This window comes from Homo sapiens, chromosome 2, assembly GCF_000001405.40.
Source record: "Homo sapiens chromosome 2, GRCh38.p14 Primary Assembly".
Lineage (NCBI taxonomy): Eukaryota > Metazoa > Chordata > Mammalia > Primates > Hominidae > Homo > Homo sapiens.
The window spans coordinates 178,139,893-178,156,802 of record NC_000002.12 but is presented as its reverse complement, the minus strand read 5'-3'; the positions used below and the strand labels follow the sequence as shown (position 1 = coordinate 178,156,802).

Sequence of the window (16,910 nt, the reverse complement as noted above, 5' to 3'; positions counted from 1 at the left end):
TAAAATAATCCAGTCCAAAATCAAGTACTGCATTTAGTTCATCTCTTTAGTTGTCTTCAATCTGGAACCATTCCTGTCTTTCCTTGACTTTCAGGACCCTGACACTTTAGAAGATTATAGGTCATTAATTTTTATAATGTTCCCCAGTTTAGCTTTGTCTGATATTATCTTATGATAAGGTTATGCTTCTTTGGCAAGAATCTCACCGAAGCAATGCTGTGTTCTCATTGCATTCTATCAGAGGGTCTACATTTTCAATTTGTTTTATTACTGAGATGTTCACTTTGATTATCTGATTAAAATGGTATCTTCTAGGCTCCTCTATTATAAATTAACCTCATTTCCCTTTTTTTATTCATAAATATTTTGCAGGACATACTTTGAGGCTATGTAAATATCTCATTCTCCACTAAGTATCAATTTATTTATTTATTTATATGACTGAACTCATAGATTTATGCTTTAATCAATTTATTACTATTATTTACTTTGATGCTCAAATTGTTCCAGATTTATCTAGTGGTGTACCCTTCAAGCTGACTTCTGAGTCATTTTGACTTGATGCTTGCACAATTTTGGGGGGCACTTCTTACTTTCTAGCCTAGTAAGATGTTCCAGGTTAATCTTGTATTTCCTCTGCCCTAATCCTGAAATCAGCCATTTCTCTGAGCTCTGTTATTTTTTATTTTTGGAGACACAGTCCCTCTTTGTTACCCAGGCTGGCGTACAGTGGCTCCAGCATAGCTCACTGCAGCCTTGAACCTCCTGGGTTCAAGCAATCCTCTCACTTTAGCCTTCTGAGTAGCAGGGACTACAGGTATGCACTACCACACCTGTCTAATTTCTAAAAAATTATTTTTGTAGAGACAGGTTCTTGCTATGTTGTTGATATGGTTTGGCTCTGTGTCCCCACCCAAATCTCATCTTGTAGGTTCCATAATTCCCATGTGTTGTGGGAGGGACCTGGTGGGAGATGATTGAATCATGGGGCTGGGTCTTTCCTGTGCTGTTCTATGATAGTGAATGGGTCTCATGAGACCTGAGGGTTTTATAAACAGGAGTTTATCTGCAGAAGCTGTCTCTTTGCCTGCTGCCATCCATGTAAGACATGACTTGCTACATCTTGCCTTCCTCCATGATTGTGAGGCCTCCCCAGCCATGTAGAACTGTAAGTCCATTAAACTACTTCTTCCCAATCTTGGGTATGTCTTTATCAGCAGTATGAAAACAGACTAATAAAGTAAATTGGTACAAGTAGAGTGGGGCGTTACTGAAAAGATACCCAAAACTATGGAAGCGACTTTGGAACTGAGTAACAGGCAGAGGTTGGAACAGTTTGGAGGGCTCAGAAGAAGACAAGAAAACGTGGGAAAGTTTGGAACTTCCTGGAGATTTGTTGAATGGCTTTGACAAAAATGCTGACAGTGATACGAACCATAATGTCCAGGCTGAGGTGGTCTCAGATGGAAATGAGGAACTTGTTGGGAACCGGAGCAAAGGTGACTCTTGTTATGTTTTAGCAGAGAGACTGGCAGCATTTTGCCCCTGCCCTAAAGATTTGTGGAACTTTGAACTTGAAATAGATGATTTAGGGTATCTGGCAGAAGAAATGTCTAAACAGCAAAGCATTCAAGAGGTGACTTGGATGCTGTTGAGGGCATTCAGTTTTATAAGGGAAGCAGAGCATAAAAGTTCAGAAAACTTGCAGCCTGACAAGGCAATAGAAAAGAAAAATCCCATTTTCTGAGGAGAAATCCAAGCCAGCCTCAGAAATTTGCATAAGTAATTTGGAGCCAAATGTTAATCCCCAAGACAATGGGGAAAATGTCTCCAGGGCACGTGAGAGGTCTTCATGGCAGTCCCTCTCATCACAGGTCTGGAGGCCTAGGAGGAAAGAGTGGTTTCATGGGCTGGGTCCAGGGTCCCCATGCTGTGTACAGTCTAGGGACTTTGTGCCCTGCATCCCAGCTGCTCCAGCCACGGCTGAAAGGGGCCAATGTAGAGCTCAGACTGTGGCTTCAGAGGATGCAAGCCTCAAGACTTGGCAGCTTCCACGTGGTGTTGGGCCTGTGAGTGCATAAAATTCAAGAATTGAGGTTTGGGAACCTCCACCTAGATTTCAGAAGACGTATGGAAATGCCCGGATGCCCAGGCAGAAGTTTGCTGTAGGGGTGGGGTCCTCATGTGGAACCTCTGCTAGGGCAGTGCAGAAGGGAAATGTTGGGTGGGAGCCCCCACACAGAGTCCCTACTGGGGCACCACCTAGTAAAGCTGTGAGAATAGGGCCATCATCCTCCAGACTCCAGAATGGTAGATCCACTGACAGCTTGTACCATGCGCCTGGAAAAGCCTCAGACACTCAACACCGCCAGTGAAGGTAGCTGGGAAGGAGGCTGTACCCTGCAAAGCCACAGGGGTGGGGCTGCCCAAGACTATGGGAACCTGCCTCTTGCATCAGCATGACCTGGATGTGAGACATGGAGTCAAAGGAGATCATTTTGGAGCTTTAAGATTTGACTGTCCCACTGGGTTTCAGACTTGCATGGGGCCTGTAGCCCCTTTGTTTTGGCCAATTTCTCCCATTTAGATTGGCTGTATTTACCCAATGCCTGTACCCCTATTGTATCTAGGAATTAACTAACTTGCTTTTGATTTTACAGGCTCATAGGTGGAAGGGACTTACTTGCCTTGTCTTGGATGAGACTTTGCACTATGGACTTTTGAGTTAATGATGAAATGAATTGAGACTTTGGGGGACTGTTCAGAAGGCATGATTGGTTTTGAAATGTGAAGATATGAGATTTGGGAGGGACCAGGGGAAGAATGATATGGTTTGGCTCTGTGTTCCCACTCAAATCTTGTCTTGTAGCTCTCATAATTTCCACATGTTGTCAGAAGGACTCGGCAGGAGATGATTGAATCAAGGGGGCAGGTCTTTCCCATGCTATTCTTATGATAGTGAATGGGTCTCATGAGATCTGGTGGTTTTAAAAACAGGAGTTTCTCTGCACAAGTGCTCTCTTTGCCTGCCACCATCCATGTAAGCTATAACTTGCCCCCCTTGCTTTCTGCCATGATTGTGATGCCTCCCAAGCCACGTGGAACTGTAAGTCCATTAAACCTCTTTTACTTTCCAGTCTCAGGTATGTCTTTATCAGCAGTGTGTAAATGGACTAATACAGTTGTCCAGGCTGGTTTTAAACTCCTGGGCTCAAGCTATCCTCTTGGCTTGGCCTCCCAATGTGTTGGGATTACATGGGTGAGCCACCACACCTGGCCTATGTCTCTGAGCTCTATTTAAGGTCACCTCTCCACTAGGGCACTTCACCCATCATAAGGATATAAAAGTATGCTAAAGAAGAGTTTATGAAAACTATATAATGGAGTGTTTCTTGCTCTTTAAGTTTGAAAGATACAGCACTCTGTGCTTGGAATTCTAAGCTCCAAAGGTACAGATGTCATAGGTTTATTCCAATATCTTTACTGTGTAGATGTGTATCTTTAGCATATCTAGGAAGTAATGTAAATTTAATCGTTTGCATAACATAGTACAATTTATATAGCCAAGGCCTATAAAAGGTGATAAAATCCATTTAAAACTGCTCTGTGGTAAGATTTGTGATTGCCAGTTCAGCAGCATAAGGGTGATGGACTTTGAACAGAATAGACAACTTGGGTTTGTGTCTCAGCAGAACCCTTTAGTAAGAAAATAATCTCTACCTCACTAGGTTGTGTAAATATTAAATAAGATAGCTCTTATAAGGCTGCCATGTAAACTGTAAAGGGCTATTTTTATATAAAATATTATTTAAAAATGCTTACAGTCACATAACTATTAAAACCTCAAAAAGTGAACTTGGTTTTCTCAAGGAAAGAAAAACCAATGTGGCAAAACAAACAAACAAACAAACAACAACAACAAAAAAAAACAAAAAAACCCGGTAACACTATTAGCCTTTTAAAACTGAGATTGTATTTACCGGCTGCATTTTTTTTCACAGAACCTTAATACAACTCAAATTGCCATTGTGCTGAAATCTCTCTAATGATTACCATTATTGCTTAACTTTCTTACATGCTTTGTTAAATTCAGGATACGCTATTCTTTGGGGTCATCTACAGATAAATTGTTTGTTAAACTGTTAAAATTACTGAGAGTAAACCACTAATAAAGAATAGTCTGCAGCTCTTTCAAAGGTTTATAAACTATGGGTGGACCTGAATAATGAGTTAGGAAAAAAACGAACTATTAAAGAATTCATACTTGTTCTTATTTAGTTGGAGTTTTATAGAAAAGAAGAGCAAACTAGTGAATTGCTGTTAATTTTGTAGGTAAGAGTGTTACTGTCTTTTTAAAAAGTGATTAGCTTCTAGAGACATACTAAAACATGAAAAAATGTAATATGAAAGAGACATTTTTCCTGAGATGAGTGGATGAAAGTCTATAGTTCAGGAGTCAGCAAACTTTTTCTGTAAAGGGCTAAACAGTAACTATTTTTGGCTTTGCAGGCCGTACAACTTCTGTTGCAACTACTCAACTCCACTACTGCAGCACAAAAACAGGCATGTAAACAAAAGAGTATGGCTGTGTTCCAACAAAATTTTATTTACAAAAGCAGGCGACAGGCTGGATTTAGTCTGTGGGTCATAGTTTCCAACCTCTGGGGACAAATGAAACTAAATTTGCTGAGATTAATGTTTATGAAAGCTCCGTGATGGGTACATAGAAGTTGTTACACTATTCTGTGTACAGTTTATATATTTAAAATTTTCGATAATAAATTTTCTATAATAAAAAGTCAAAAACAAAGAAGAGATAAAATTTTGATAAGAGAGAAGAGAATGAGATAACCAGGCTGTGATAAAATACCTTCATATTTGATACACACACATTTTACTAGTTTATTTTAATGATCTGATTTGCTGGCTATTTTCCATTTATTTATTTATTTATTTATTTTGAGACAGGGTCTTGCACTGTCTCTCAGGCTGGAGTGCAGTGGCTTGATGATGGCTCACTGCAGCTTTGACTTCCTAGGCTGAAGTGATCCTCCTGTCTCAGTCTCCCATGTAGCTGGGACCATAGGTACATGCCGCCACACCGGGCCAATTTTTTGTATTTTTTGCAGAGACAGGGTCTCATTTTGTTGCCCAGACTTGTCTTGAACTGCTGGGCTCAAGCTATCCTCCCATTTCAGCCTCTGAAAGTGTTGGGATTACAGGCATGAGGCACCACACCCAGCCTATTTTCCTTTTATATAATCTGCCTGATCATTTTTTTAAAAAGGTACTGAATTGGAATATTTATGAAACTATTTTTTGGTAATATACTACATTTGGCATACTTAAGTGCCAAGAGATTTTAAAACCTTTTATTTTTAAAAAACCATCACATGAAATAAAGGATATATTTCATATAGGATTCTAGGACTTTGGATTACGATGCTATTGATAGTTCATGATTTGCATTATTCCTTTACTCAAAACTCATGGCCATGATACATAATACATTAAAGGAAAAAAATACACAGCTTTTTTTTTTTTTTTTTTTTTTTATAAAAAGGACTTAGCTGTGTTCAGTAAGATAAATCTCCGTGAGCCAGGAACAGAAAATACAGTGAAGAAAATTGGTAGGTGGAGGCCGGGCGCGGTGGCTCACAACTGTAATCCCAGCACTTTGGGAGGCCAAGGCAGGTGGATCACGAGGTCAGGAGATCGAGACCATCCTGGCTAACATGGTGAAAACCCGTCTCTACTAAAAATACAAAAAATTAGCCGGGTGTGGTGGCGGGCACCTGTAGTCCCAGCTACTCAGGAGGCTGAGGCAGGAGAAAGGCCTGAACCCGGGAGGTGGAGCTTGCAGTGAGCTGAGATCACGCCACTGTACTCCAGCCCGGGGAATAGAGTGAGACTCCGTCTCAAAAAAAAAAAAAAAAAAAAAAAGTAAAGAAAAAAGAAAATAGGTAGGTGGGAGCCATGAGCCTGCTGAACTCTGGGTCACTAAGTAGATAGAGGCAATTGTGAGTTCATATCCTTTTGGGAGATCAGAGACAGGTTCACTGCCTAAAACCAGGAGCTGGGCTGGTGATCCTTACTCCCATCCCTTTCACAAAGAAGCTTAAAAAGCTGCTGCTGACTACTGCCTGGGACTACAGCTTTAGGGGAAGCTGTGAGCTTCAGGAGGCAGGACAGAAACACAAGCTGGCAACCAATATTCTACATGTTATCATGAAGGATGTAATCAATGACTGGTCCAAATTATCATTTTTTAAAAATTTTAAGTTCCTGGATACATATGCAGGACATTCAGGTTTGTTACATAGGTAAACGTGTGCTGCTGCGCGTATCAACCCATCACGTAGGTATGAAGCCCCACATGCATTAGCTATCTTTCCTGATGCTCTCCTTCCCCCTACCTGCCCTCACCAGCAAGGACAGACCCCGTATGTGTTGTTCCCCTTCCTGCGTCCATGTATTCTCATTGTTCAGCTCACACTTATGAGCGAGAACATGTGGTGTTTGGTTTTCTGTTCCTGTGTTAGTTTGCTGAGGATGATGGCTTCCAGCTCCATCCATGTCCCTGCAAAGGACATGATCTCATTCCTTTTTATGGCTTCATAGTATTCCATGGTGTACATGTACCACATTTTCTTTATCCAGTCTATCACTAATGGACATTTTGGTTGATTCCATTTCTTTGCTATTGTGAATAGTGCTGCAATAAATATATGCATGCATGTATCTGTAAAATAAAATGATTTATAGGTCCAATTTATTTACCCCTTTTTGTGCCCATATCCCTTGCCATTGTAACGTTGAAGTTCTTCCCATAAAAGGCAGTATGGCCGGGTGCAATGACTCACGCCTGTAATCCCAGCACTTTGGGAGGCCGAGGTGGGTGGATCACGAGGTCAGGAGTTCAAGACCAGCCTGGCCAAGGTGGTGAAATCCCATCTCTACTAAAAATACAAAAATTAGCCAGGCGTGGTGGTGGGTGCCTGTAATCCCAGCTACTCGGGAGGCTGAGGCAGAGAATTGCTTGAACCCAGGAGGCAGAGGCTGCGGTGAGCCAAGCTTGTGACACTGCGCTCCAGCCTGGGTGACAGAGTGAGACTCCGACTCAAAAAAATAAAAATAAAAATAAAAATAAAAAAGGCAGTATATTTTTCTGGGCTCAGCCATGGGATATGCTTTGGCCAATGGGGCATTAGTAGGTATGATGAAAGCAAGGGCTTGAAATGTGCTTATCTAATGGGGCTTGCCCCCTTGTACTTTTGTCACCACAATAAGGAGAGTTTTCCCCAGGGTAGCTGATGCCCTGGGCCCCAGAATAAGCATGCGTAGCAGAAGTGCCCTCCCGGTTTGCAGACCTGGCAACTCCACTCACCTCACACCATCTCTGTGGCTGACAGTGCCCCAGGTGATATGATCCAGCAGCCTCCTGGCCTCGTCCCCTCCACTCTCCCTCTCTCACTGTTCCAGGTCCATAGCTTCCTCCCTCTCCCTTGAACACCTGCCCCAGGGTGTTTGCACTGGCACACCCTCCCCCATTTTGCCCAGCTGGGCCCTTCTCATCACCCATAAGTCAGTACAATTGTCATCTCCTCAGAGAGGCCCAGGCTGCCCAGGGCCCCAGATTCCAGCTGCGCCTCAGAATGAGCATGTGGAGCATAACTGTCCTGGCTGCCTGAGACCTGCTTTATAAAGTAAAGCTACTTCAGCGACTGCAGCCTGAAGTTGCCCTAACTGACCTGCAGACCCATGAGAAAATTAAAAGCTTATTAACAAAATGAAAAGCTTATATGTCACTGAGATTTTGTGATTGTTTCTTATGTAGCAATAGTAACCTAATCTAGAAGTCAGCACCTAATACTGGGATGCTGCTGTAATCAGAACCTAAAATATATGTTATTAGCTTAGGGTGGTGGATATGGTGAGGCAACTATTAGAGAAACTGAAAAATGGCAACCTGTATTTGTACAATGGTTGCCCATAGTAATGTGGAGGATAGTAGGATAGTTTCTAGGCATATGTCAAAGGTATGGGGCTAGGTGCTTTAAGTACTATTCTTTTTCTTTTCTTTTTTTTTTTTTTTGAGACCAAGTCTCACTCTGTTGCCCAGGCTGGAGTGCAGTGGCGCAATCTCAGCTCACTGCAACCTCTGTCTCCCAGGTTCAAGAGATTCTCCTGCCTCAGCCTTCTGAGTAGCTGGGATTACAGGTGTGCGCCACCACATCCAGTTAATTTTTTTTTGTATTTATTTATTTATTTATTTATTTATTTTGAGACAGAGTTTTGCTCTTGTTGCCCAGGCTGGAATGCAATGATGCGATCTCGGCTCACTGCAACCTCCACCTCCTGGGTTCAAGACATTCTCCTGCCTCAGCCTCCTGAGTAGCTGGGATTACAGGCATGTGCTACCATGCCTGGCTAATTTTTTATATTTTTAGTAGAAATGGGGTTTCTCCATGTTGGTCAGGCGAGTCTCGAACTCCCAACCTCAGGTGATCCGCCCGCCTCGGCCTCCCAAAGTGCTGGGATTACAGGCATGAGCCACTGCGCCCGGCTTTATTGTATTTTTAGTAGAGACAGGTTTTGCCATGCTGGCCAGGCTGGTCTCGAACTCCTGGCCTCAAGCGATCCACCTGCCTCAGCCTCCCAAAGTGCTGGGATTACAGGCGTGAGCCATCGCTCCCAGCTTTAAGTCCTATTTGCTAAAATAACAAGAAAAATGAGAAATTCATAAAAAAAAATCCCACTGACTTGCAAGAAGTGTTTAGAGAGCCCAGAACCTGCTTAGTTGAAGAATAAAATTCTTAATCTCCAGCTAGTGAAAGTGTTTCAGATCCAGCCTGGGAGAAAAATATCAAACTAAGGGCAAGGCTGTAACGTTCTTCATTTAGACATCTGAAAGAATTAAGGTAGTGCCTGGTAGATCCTTTCACCTGGAAAAAGGGGTTTCTAGAAAGCTTAAGGGCAGGGTCTCTCAGAAGTCGAATGAGAATTAGTTCCTCATAATAAAGTCTAGAAAGAAAGGCATGTAGCAGAAAGAATTGTGGGTGTGGGTTTTTTTTTTTTTTTTGAGACAGAGTCTTGCTTTGTTACCCTAGCTGGAGTGCAGTGGCGCAATCTCGGCTCACTGCAACCTCTGCCTCCTGGGTTCAAGTGATTCTCCTGTCTCAGCTTCCCGAGTATCTGGGATTACAGGTGCATGCCACCATGCCTGGCTAATTTTTGTATTTTTAGTAGAGAAGATTTCACCGTGTTAGCCAGGCTGGTCTCGAACTCCTGACCTCAGGTGATCTGCCCACCCAGGCCTCCCAAAGTGCTGAGATTACAGGTATGAGCCACCGCGTCTGGCCACATAAATTTTAAAAAAGAATAAATTATGAAACAAAATCAGGCTTTAAGTGATCCAAGAACAGGTAGAAAGAGTTTTTAAAAAATTTGCTGGACATGGTGGTGTATGCCTGTAGTCCCAGCTGTTTGGGAGGCTGAGGCAGGAGGATGGCTTGAAGCCAGAAGTTCAAGGATTCAGTGCACTATGATTGCTCCCGTGAATAGCCACTGCACTCCAGCCTGGGCAACATAGTGAGACCCTGTCTCTAAAAACGTAAACATTTTTAAAATAAATAAAATAAAAGAGTAAAAAATTAGGAGAACATACCAATTTAAAGACTCAATGGACATTCTAGACTGCACACAGTCTAAGAAAGAATTACTATATTTTAAGGTGTTACTGAGGAAATAATGTAAAATGCAACAGAAAGAGGTTTTTTAAGATGAGTGAGAAAATAAGTGACACAGAGACCAGACTGAGAGGCTGCAACTGTCTAATAAAACTTCAAAAGATGAAAATAGACAAAATTACAAACAAGCAATATTTGAAGAGATAGGGGCAGAGAACTTTCCAAAATTGAAGAATAATCCCTTAGAGTAAAAGTACATTCTGTACCAAGCAGGATAAAATATAAACTCTTATGTAGACACATAAAAGCAAAACTGCAGGATACAGAAAAAATTTAAAGTTATCAAAGAGGGAACAAAATTAACCATAAAAGAATAAAAATTAGACTAATAACAGATTTCTAATTGAGAAAAATAAGTGACAGGATGCAATAGAATAATTGTTTCAAATTGCTAAGGGAAAATTACTCCGGATGTAGAATTCTATACTCAGCCAAAAGCTACTATCTAAGAGTGAAAGCAAAATAAAGGCATTTGCAGACAAAAGGGAAACAAAATGAAACAAAACCCCAAAATACATCTCACTGAAATAACCATTAGAGCTTGCAAGAAGAAAAGTGAATGTAAGGGAAAGAAGTTAGATGCAAAATACAATGGTGATTTTATGGTATGCGAACTGAATATCAATAAAATTATTTTGTTTAAAAAGAAACGATGAGCATAAAATTGTCATGTTTGAATTTTTTTTTGTATTTTATGATAAAAATGTTGAAACTGAATTTCCAGACAACAATAAAAGAAAAGGTAGGAATTTGTTAATGAGTAAACAAAATAATGTCCTTTTCCTGTTTGGAAGAAAGATTCAAATACCAAATAACTTTAGACTTTAGTAGGAAGTTTAAGGGTGGCCCCTAAGGAACAGAAATGTAATCTATAACTTCCAAGTAAGGAGAACATCAAAGTGGGGGGATAGTAGAAAACCTTATCAATTTGGCAGATGACCAGAACTAAAGAAGCAAATGTAAATAATAGTAAACACATAAAACAAAATGATAAAAAATAAATGCAAGAGCTAGGCACGATGGGCCAGGTACGATGGCTCACTCCTGTAATCCCAACACTTTGGGAGGCTGAGGTGGTTGGATCACTTGAGGTCAGGAGTTCAAGACCAGCCTGACCAACATGGTGAAACTCCGTGTCTACTAAAAATACAAAATGAGCCAGGTGTGGTGGTGCACACCTGTAATCACAGCTACTTGGGAGGCTGAGGCAGGAGAATCGCTTGAACCCAGGAGGCAGAGGTTACAGTGAACCAAGATCACACCATTGAACTCCAGCCTGGGCAACAAGAGCAAAACTCTCTCTCAAAAAAAAAAAAAAAAAAAAAGAGCTAGGCATGATGGCACACACTACAAGTCCCAGCTATTCGGGAGGATGAAGCAGGAGGATCACTAGAGCCCCGGAGTCTAAGATCAGCCTGGGCAACACAGTAAGACCACACTTCTAAATGAATGAGTAAATAAGTAAATCTAAATGTCGTGAATCACAATGAATGTAAATGGGTTACTGACCTACTGAAAGGCAGACTATCAGATTCCACAAAGAACAAAATACAGCCACATGTTGCTTGTAAGAGATACATCCAAAGTAAAATGTCACAGAAATTTTGAAATAAAGGAATAAAAATACACTACACAGGGTTCTGATTCTGAAAATGATAGAGGAGCTTTTATCAGACTATGTCTCCTCTAACCATTATAAGCTCTGGGCAACATATATATATTCAATTAGTTCACATATATATGACCTAATTGAAGGTGCTTGGAGAATCACCAAAAGCAGACAGAAACCAAGGGGAGTAAATATTGAAAGAAGAGAAACACACTGGGTGAGAGTCATGCTTATGAAATTTTACCTCAGCACAGCAATGCTAGAACTCAAGCAGAAAAGTGCAGTCTTACTGGCTTGAGTCAATGGGCAGACTTTGGGGATGCCTAAGCCATTTGAGAACAAGGGAGCATCCCCCAAAAAGGATAGAGCCAAAAAACAAGGAGTCCCAAAAATCTATGGTAAACCTCACTCAAAATCTTTGGCTGACTCTTTGACTTTGCATGGGCAAGGGAGACTACCAGAGGTGGTGGTGATGGAAAACAACAGCTGAAAGGATGAGAAATCCAGGGGCTGCCCACTGCAAAAGAGGCAGAGTTAGAAATGGGGGTCCAAACAAGCTAAGTGCCTGCTAGAACAGAAATGAAGACTCTTCGTATAAAGGTAATAGAGTCTAGTCTAAACAATGTTTGATTCCCAATGTCTTATATATGATAAAGCTAAACATGTGAATGACTAATGTAACAACTGTTATTCTTACAGTGGGTTACTCTTCAGCCATGAAAAGGAATGAACCACTGATACACACAACAGCATGGATGAATTTCACAGAGCTCATGCTGAGTGAAAGCAGATAAACCCAAATGAGTACATAGTCAACTCTCTGTATCCCTGGGTTCCACATCTGTGGATTCAACCAGCCTAGTTTGAAAATACGTGGAAAAAAAAAAAAAGGATGGTTGTGCCTGCATTGAATACATACAGATCTTTTTCTTGTCATTATTTCCTAAACAATACAGTATAACAAGTGTTTACATAGCATTTACATTGTACTAGGTATTATAAGTAATCTACAGATAAAGTAAACAAGAAAATGTGCATAGCTTACATGCTAATACTACACCATTTTATTTTTATTTATTTTTGAGACAGGGTCTTGCTCTGTTACCCAGGCTGGAGTGCAGTGGCATAATCTTGGCTCACTGCAACCTCTGCCTCCTGGGCTCAAGTGATCTTCCCACCTCAGTCCCACAAGTAGTTGGGAATACAGGCGTGAGCCACCATGCCAGGCTAATTTTTATTTTATTTTATTTTTTTTGGAGAGATGGGGTTTCACCATGTTGCCCAGTCTGGTCTCAAACTCCTGAGGTCAAGTGATGCACCCACCTCAGTCTCCCAAAATGCTGGAGTTACAGGCGTAAGTCACTGCACCTGGCCTACATCATTTTATATGAGACTTATCCATTTGAGCATCCACGGATTTTGGTATCTGCGGGGAGATCCTGAGAACATTCCTCCTCAGATACCAACGGACAACTGTATAATGTATGATTCCATGTATGTGATGTTCTAGAAAAGGCAACACTATCTAGTGTGAATGAAATCAGCAAAAGGATATTCTTGTGAGATTGATGGGAAAGGGGCATGAGGGAACTTGCTGCCCCAATAAAAATGATCTCTATCTTGAAGGGGTGTGATGGTCAAGAACTGTGAAGGGTCTGAGATGTTACTCTACTTACAAGATAAAAAGCCTGCCACTATCTCCTGCATCAGAGACAAAGGACTTCATTATCCACAACACAGTAAGCAGCCTGAGCTGCATGTCTGCCTTGGCTCCTATTGTCCCTTAAGTCTTACAGAGGTAATGCAGAGTGGCCCAAGTGGATGCTGTGCATGTCACAGTGTGTGCTAGAACTGAGGAACACCAAGCTTAAGGAGCCTAAATCTTTAATCAAGAGCTGTAACTCTGCTTGCCCTTTGCCCTGGAAGGAGACATTATCTTAATTTTACTAAACAGAATTTGTCTTTTGCTCCAGAGGGAGACACTAACTGTCTTCTGATTCTGTTTACTATATAAGCATCCTTTAAAAGATAGTGCCTCTGCTTACAAGACAAACAGAAACACAACAGACCCATGGGAATAGTCTCCAAAAGTGGGTTATAAGAGTGTATGCATTAATCAAGAATTCTCAAATCTTACACTTAAGATGTGTAGACTACACTGTAATCTTTATCCCCCAAAACACAACAATAAAACCCTTTAAAACAAACACAAAAGCAGAATTAGGTGTGGACAAATTAAGGATGACAGAAAAGGGGGATTCCTGTGTTCTTGTGAATCTTCTAAAATTGATAGGTTTGGGAGAAGCCAGCCTGCCTTACTGGCAGCTGACCTCACTGTAAACTACTTCTTCAAACTACGTTATATAATAGAAGCTTAAAATAATTATATAAGCTATTATACATAAGGGCAAATAAGTCATCTTTTTTTCTTTCTCTTCACCATTATGTCCTTGGCAGCTAGTACATACATGTTCAATATATTATTGTTGAATAAACTTGTACAACCAAGGTGAAAAAGGAACCAACACTTTGACCCCGAAGTCACTGAGTCACCCTCTTTATTCTGTCATCTGTAATCCTTTTCTCTTGCTTTCACTTCTCATCTCAGTTATACTTTTCTTACTTTATCCTTCCACCTCATTCTTTCAAGGAGTCATACAATGGAATAAAATTTTTTCACAATTACATGGTCTATTTATAACATAAAGATTTTATACTTCCTTCTTGAAAAACAAACAAATAAAACCCAGAACAGTGGTTGAATTAAACAGCGTGTAAACTTAAAAAAAAAAAATCCTTAAACAAGAGGCCTCAAAAAATTGGGTAAAGACTGTTCCCTCCACGGAAATCTTCAGTAAAAGGCAAAAGATTTATATGATCTGAAGAGAAACCAGAGTATCACAGTGTGTGAACTTAAGTGAGGCCATGGAGTCATATTTCTTGAGCGCGAATCCCAGCTCCATTACTTATTTGCTATGTGTCCTGTCAGAAGTCATTTAATCTCCCTGTGCTTCACAGTATTAATTTCACAGAACTGTTAGATGCCTAAATGGGAAAATATCTCACAGTGCTTGGAACAGTAGTGATATAGTAAGAGTTTAACAAGTATCATCTATTATTCAAAAATCACCTAGATTTGTATTTGGATTGTGAACTAGGCACTAGTAAAATTGTACAAACAACAAAAACACAACATTAAAATAAAAATTAGCATAATCTTTAAAAATAAGCCTAAGTAAAACTTCAGTTTGAAAAGGTAGTACCTAAACAATTATTGCAATATCTATAGAGAATACACACTTGTTTACAGAATCTCTGCAGGAGACATACATAGGAATACTTCATGCTGTAATCCAAATGGATAAAAATTTATTTTGTGCCTGTTATGTGTAAGGTGCATAGCTGTGTTTGAGGTTACAAAAATAAAACACAGGCTTTGCTCATAAAAACTTTATAATCTAGTAGGGTATACAGTATATTTAAAAAAAAAAAATTTTTTTGAGATGGGAGTCTCGTTCTGTCACCCAGGCTGGAGTGCAATGGCGTGATCTCGGCTCACCGCAACCTCCACCTCCCGGGTTCAAGCGATTCTCCTGCCTTAGCCTCCCAAGTAGCTGGGATTACAAGCATGTGCCACCACGCCTGGCTAATTTTTTTTTTTTTTTTTTTTTGTCTTTTTAGTAGAGACGGGGTTTCACCATGTTGGTCAGGCTGGCCTCAAACTCCTGACCTCAGATGATCCACCCGCCTTGGCCTCCCGAAGTGCTGGGATTACAGGCATGAGCCACTGTGCCTGGCACTTTTTAGGTTTTTTTTTTTTTAAAGTACAAGTGTTCACCAAGGAAAAATGGAAAATAGTGAAAAGCAAATACACCCATATGGCTCTTTCAAATTCATTCTAGCTTAAATAAATCATTAACTACATTATATGCAATTTTGTATTCTGCTTGCTTTCTCTAAAGAGTAAGCATGATTTCCATTCTATCCCATAGTTTTGGAAGGATTTGGTGTTACATAATATTTGATTAGTGTGTGCATGTGGTAGCATCTGTAATCTTCGTTATGGTCATTGATATTTAGTGTAGTGGTTAAGAGAATGGGCATCAATTTTAAGTTGCCTGTATCTGAAGCCCAGCTTTCCCATTTGCTGGCTGTTACTTGAGCAAGTTACTTTATTTCTCTGAATGTACTTCAGCTTCCTGTTGATAAAATAGGAAAAATAGTACTTACACCATAGAGTTTTGAGATACATGTAAAGCCACTCACCCAGTGCCTGGCAATAAATCTAGCTAAGAAGCAGTTTTAGACATTGTGTTTGCCTTACCAACATGTTTTCCATACCTTCCCCATTATATTGCAGTCATGCAGTTGGGAACAAGGCTAGACACTGATTCATTTAAACAACTCAGGCTAGTCCCATCCTTCCAGCTAGTGATTGTTTCAGACTAATCATGAATAATCCAAAGAGTCCATGACATTCATATGATCATAAGAATGGACAAGTAACCAATTTGGGCAAACAGATCTCATTGTGGATCTATTGAGATGTGTATTAGAGTTCAAGAGCAGCCTGGGCAACAAAGTGAGACCCTGTCCCCGAAAAAAAAATGTGTATTAACGGTTTTTTCCCCCCAATGGGAACTGCTCTTTCATCAAAGGATAAACCCTACTTAGCAATGGTATGTTGTTCTTTGAACACATAATTTGTACTACTAATATTTTATTTAGGTTTGCTTGCATCCATATTCATAGGTTAAAGAACAATTTATAGCTTTGATTTTTGTCTTTTCAATGTTTTGGTGTCAGGGTAACAGTAACTGCACAAAATTTAATGTGGTGTACACTCACCTTTTTCTGTCTGCCAGAGAAAATTTATATAACATAGGAATAACGTGCTTCTTAAAAGTTTGGGAGAATGCATAGAGTGATCAGGACTCATTTGAGGAGATACAATTCATTGGTTACTACATTAATTTTTTTCTTTGGTTATCGACCTGTTTGAATTTTGTAATTCTTGAGTGGGTTTTCTAAACTCGTGTACTGAATATTTCATAGCAAATATTTAAATTAAAACAATTAAGGATGACATTTATTTTTTAATAATCTGTTTTTCATTAACTTTATTATTTCTGATTTTGATTTTTTTAGAAAATGCATTTGCCAGGAGGTTGCCTATTTGCTTTCCTCTGATTTATTTCTAGTCTTATCCATATTGTTACTTTTTTCCCTTGTGTTACATGTCTAATTCATTCATTTTCATGTTCTAAATAATAGTGACTATCAGTTTTCCTTTCAGCATAGCTTTAAACACATCCTCTAATTTTTATTTGCCATTTTGTTTTCACTCAATTTTACTGGATCTTTTTGACAAAACAACCGTTTAGGAGGCTTCTAAATTATTTTTCACATGATTGTGATTTAATTATTAAAATTTTTAAGTTTTATTACCACGTATAACTTTTGCCCTTTAAAATGCACTGCAGGGAAACTGTCAGGCTCTAAGGATTGCTTTCCGTTATTACAGGCCATTCAGATGCTGAAGTAACGTACAG

At 40.0% G+C, this 16,910-nt stretch overlaps 1 pseudogene, besides 1 other annotated feature; it reads right to left on the bottom strand.

Moving 5' to 3' along the window:
* Window positions 2,074-2,575: an enhancer, noted in NCBI's record as "H3K27ac hESC enhancer chr2:179018955-179019456 (GRCh37/hg19 assembly coordinates)". NCBI's record gives its function as "activates a minimal SCP1, AML or CMV promoter by ChIP-STARR-seq in primed H9 embryonic stem cells {active_cell/tissue: H9 hESC(primed)}" and the evidence as "EXISTENCE:reporter gene assay evidence [ECO:0000049][PMID:30033119]".
* Window positions 14,152-14,255, bottom strand: RNU5E-9P (RNA, U5E small nuclear 9, pseudogene; annotated as a pseudogene).